This window comes from Homo sapiens, chromosome 2, assembly GCF_000001405.40.
Source record: "Homo sapiens chromosome 2, GRCh38.p14 Primary Assembly".
Taxonomy (NCBI): Eukaryota; Metazoa; Chordata; class Mammalia; order Primates; family Hominidae; genus Homo; species Homo sapiens.
In genome coordinates, this window is record NC_000002.12 from 173,812,969 (window position 1) to 173,817,676 (window position 4,708).

Sequence of the window (4,708 nt, forward strand, 5' to 3'; positions counted from 1 at the left end):
TGGATAAGCATTGTGTCAAGTTTTTGCAAGAAGAGAATTGCATTTCACATGCATGAAAGCAACTCTCTTGTAACTTACAGAATACGACATTAAAAATAAGCACATAGGAGAACCATTAAAATACTTATTATTTGAGTTAAATTAGAATTCTATGAGGATAGTTTCATCAAATGATTTGTGTTATTTTAATTTCCTTTCACAATCAGATTCAAATTACTCTACCTACAGGTTACAATGGTTAAGCAGATGCTCCTTAAACATCAAATCTCATTTTTTGTAACATTCATCATGGATTTTTAAAAGTATCAAGTTGAAGCTAGCCACTAAATATCTTCTGATTTTTAAAGTTATCAATTCCTTCACATAATATTTCATAGATGTTGATCTTAAAGGAAAAGGGGAAAAAAAGGAAAGATCTCTCAGAGGCAAGAGCTTTATATCTCAAAATATTTTATGATTTAACAGCTGTCCTGGGAGTTGAAAAAGATGATGCTAGACTCAGCTAAAATTCAATACGTGTTCTGTAAAGTGTGCTAACTGCAGTGTGGAGTTCTGACACTCATAGTCCACATGCAATTCTAGTTTTTCAGCACTAAGAAATCACTCATGGAGAAGGAACTGCTTCGTGAATTCAATTTTATCATCCATCCATAAGTAGCTGTATTTCTTCAAGTAGCTTTGATACTTGTGAGCATTAATGGTGACTGATTGCACCCTGCTCGGGATTTCCTGGTGCATTTCCTCTGGCACATCCATCTGAGCCACGTTCTTTCCTAATAGAAAAATAAAATGGAAAAACATAAGTGGAGCCAATGATTTTTCTTTTAAAACCATGAAGAATTAGAGGTAGACTACTTCAAGCTAGACTACCGCCATCCAAAATCCAACCAGTACCCCATTAAGTTTGAGAGTTTATTTTATACAAGAGTTCTCAACGTGTTGTATGTTAACTAAGATTTGTAAAGATAATCACACTCTAAACACAATAGAGGATCTTGTTATTTAAGGGAATATATTGTGAATCACTTGGTAAAGTAGATAATTCTTTTGGAAAGTGAAAAATCACCAACTTACTTTATCCTTCACAGACTATGTTGGTTTTCTTAAGACCAGAAAAATAAGCAACTGAATCTCTTATAAGTAGAAAGTGGATTTTCTCACCATGAACATTCATGAACCAGCAGAATTAGACATCAACCAGTGATCAATAGAAAAGGTGAAGGTGAAGATTTCCCTCTGACAGCATCATCTCCTTACCACCTAAGGAGCTCAAGGAAGGCAGAAGAACCTCATTGCCACTGTTTCCAAAGACCTCTCTGATGTCTTTACTGTAAGCAACTCTGCCTTCAAGCAGCCAGGAGACTGATTTTACGAGGCAGATGAAGCCAAATGATAGGTGATTGCGTATGGGTGTGTTGGCCATGGGATCTTTGCCTTATAGTTCCTACTTCTTCTCTTGGCTAGATACATACCAAACCAACCAATGCCTATGGTCAATTTGTGTACTTTGGGTCTCCATTTTCTTGTTTGGTTCAACATTACGTCATCTTTATAAAATAAATTGAGAGAAAAAATTTATAAGAAAGACTTAAGTATGTTCCAAGAAAATATGCCATTTACCCTAGAGGTTGAAATATAATCAATTATTCAAAACTTGCATGCTATATATACAAGACACTGCCAGACTCTGGAGATTTAAAAAAAAAAAATAAGACCAGGTGTGGTGGCTCACACCTGTAATTCCAACAGTTTGGGATCCTGATGTGGGAGGATTGCTTGAGTCTGGGCAACACGGTGAGACCTCGTCCCCACGAAAAATAAAAAAATTGGCCGGGCGTGGTGGCTCACTCCTGTAATCCCAGCATTTTGGAAGGCTGAGGCAGATGGATCGCTTGAGCACAAGGAGTTCAAGACCAGCCTGGGAAACATGGCAAAACCCCATCTCTACTAAAAATACAAAAACTAGCAGGGCGTGGTGGGGTGTGCCTGTAGTTCCAGCTGCTTGGGAGGCTGAGGTGGGAGGATCACTTGAGCCTGGGAGGTGAAGGCTACAGTGAGCCAAGATTGCACCACTGTACTGCAGCCCTGGTGACAGAGTAAGACTGTCTCAAAAAAAAGAAAGAAAGAGAGAAAGAGTGAGAAAGAGAGAATGAAAGAAAAGAGAGAAAAAGAAAGAGAGAAAGAGAGAAAGGAAGAAAGGAAGAAAAGAAAGAAGAAAGAAAGAAAGAAAGAAAGAAGAAAGAAAGAAAGAAAGAAAGAAAGAAAGAAAGAAAGAAAGAAAGAAAGAAAGAGAGAGAGAAAGAGAGTTCCTGTTCCCCCATTCTGTGTTTTTCAAACATTTACTAATTTTTCAAAGTTCAGTGTAAAAGTCACCTCCTTAGTTGGACCTCAACAGCACCCTTCTTATTGTGATGATTGTGATGTGATGTGGCAGAAATGGGAAAGGGCTGGGATCCAGAAGGGAAGGGTTATAGTCTTGGGGTTCACTTCTTACTAGCATGACCCTAAGCGAATGGCCTCAACTTTCTGAGTCCTTTTCCTCTTCTATAAAATGGATTTAACCATCATTATTTCACAGGACCATTGTGAAGACAAAGTGAGATGAAGAATGAAAAACTATCCCTGGTACAGAAAATGTGAAATAAATATTTGTTCCACCTATTCTATAGCCCTTCATTGTTCTACTCACTCATAACTGTGAACTCCAGAAGAGCAGGAGCCACACTGTGTTCATCTTTATAGTCTGCACCTAATACTTAGGAGGTGTTTCAGTTAAAATTAGGTAAAGCTGCATTTGGCCAAAAACAAACTAACTAAGGAGACCTTAAATCCACAGTTTTTATCTCTCCCATAAAAATCTAGGGACTACTAAGAATCCAGGGCTGCTCAGACAGTTCCACAGATGAGTCAGGATCCCATACTCCTTCCAGCTTTATCGCCTGCCACCGTAAGGATGTGGCTCTCGTTAGCATTATCTAAGACGGCAGATGGGGCTCTAGGCAACATATCTGGATTCCAGGTAGTACAAAGAAGGAGAAGGGCAGGTCTCTCCCTGGAAAGACATTTCTGGAAGTTGTGCAACCACTTCTGCTTACATACCTTTGGCCGAAACTTGGTTGTATGGCTCCATCCAGCTGCATGGGAGGCTGGAAAGTGTAGTCTTCAGTCTGTGCCTCTGTATATCCAATTAATATTCAAAGTCCTGTTACTGAAGAAGAAGACAGAATTTGATGCTGCAGGGACCATGAATGGTATCTGCCCTATTACACACATGACTATGCTTTGGGAAGTTGGTTCTGGCAGGGATGTGGAGAAGGAATCAAGAGGCAAAAGCTGAAAGCCAGGAGGAGAGTTGGGACACTCCAGTAACACTGACAAACATAGGCTAGAGGAAGAGAGGAGCTCTTCCTCTCATTGAATGAGTACTGCATGCCAGACCCCGTGGGGTGCACATTACCCACACCGGCTCATTTGTCACTTCAACCTCTCAAAGCACACTGGAGTTCAGATTTTAGCAGAATATTTATTCCAACTTGGGATTGTTAGGTGACTTAAAATGGCCATCATTATATTTCACGATATTGTGGATTGGAAATATGGGCTGGGCTCAGCTGGGTGAGTCTTCTCTCCATATAGTGATGGTGTTCATCTATTGTGGGCTCACCTGGAGGATTCCAGGAGGCCTCACTGACGTGTCTGGCACCTTGGCAGGGCTGGCTAGGAGCCTGGGCTCAGCTGGGACTGTTGACCAGATTGCCTGCCCGTGGCCTCGCCAATGTGGTGGGCACAGAAGTCGGACTTCTTATATGGCAGCTCAAAGCTCCCAGAGAGAGCATCCTGAGAGACAGGAAGTTGGAAAGCTCAAGTTGTTTGTTTCTTGGAGGTCTGGGCCTCAAAACTGGTACAGCAACACTTCTGCCATATTCTATTGCTCAAAGCAGTCCCAAAGGCTGCCCAGATTCAAGGATGGGGGCAAAGACCCCGCTTCTCAATGGAAGGTAGGTACAAGTATTTGCAGCCATCTTGAATTCTCCACAGGTGACTTGCACTTAATCAGTATCCAGTAAGTGTTTGTTGAATGATTCACAGGTTTGGTTCAGTTCTAGATCCTGAAAAATAACATAAATGAGAAACACATCAAGTGTCTAGGAGTTTCTAGAACTTAACTCCTTTCTTTTGAAAAGGAGTTCAAAATACAGATTTAGGACACAGGATCTGACTGTACATTAGCAAAATAAAAGTGGAGTTTACTCCAAAACATGAAGGAAGAAAGTGAACGGCTATTCTTCTCCATTTCCTATACTGTAGCAACAGTTTGAATAGGTTGATTGCTTTTTGGTATTACCTGGGAATTTCTTCAAGATCCAAGCTGATTACTCCCTTCTGTCCTAGAGACAGGAAAACAGCCAAGGAAGAGTGAGTTACTGCCTAAATATAAGCTTCCTTGGCCAGTCTTGGGTGAAGGAGGTAAAAAGGCAGCAGCTGGAAAATGCCCCAGGGAGAGTCTCATTTTTTGAAAGAAAAGCAGTACCTGACAGGTGTCTTTTCCAAGGCGCCTAGCGACTCCCTTTACAAATGAGGCAGCGCTGAAGTCTTGATGAGACGTTCTCTCCTGCTAGTGACATTTTTATTGACAGCATGGCTCTAACAAGTTTGGAAAGTCATCTCATTGTCATTCAGGACGAGTGGGGCCCCAAAGAAAGGGATG

General features: G+C 41.0%; 1 long non-coding RNA gene across 1 annotated transcript; it reads right to left on the minus strand.

The window, feature by feature from the left end:
- Window positions 1–572: 572 nt before the first annotated feature.
- Window positions 573–3,735, minus strand: LOC105373745 (uncharacterized). Its single transcript, XR_923588.3, has 3 exons — window positions 3,665–3,735; window positions 3,100–3,208; window positions 573–773 (listed from the first exon to the last, which is right to left on the minus strand). It is a non-coding gene; the product is annotated as an uncharacterized LOC105373745 (long non-coding RNA).
- Between the last annotated feature and the right edge of the window lie 973 nt (window positions 3,736–4,708).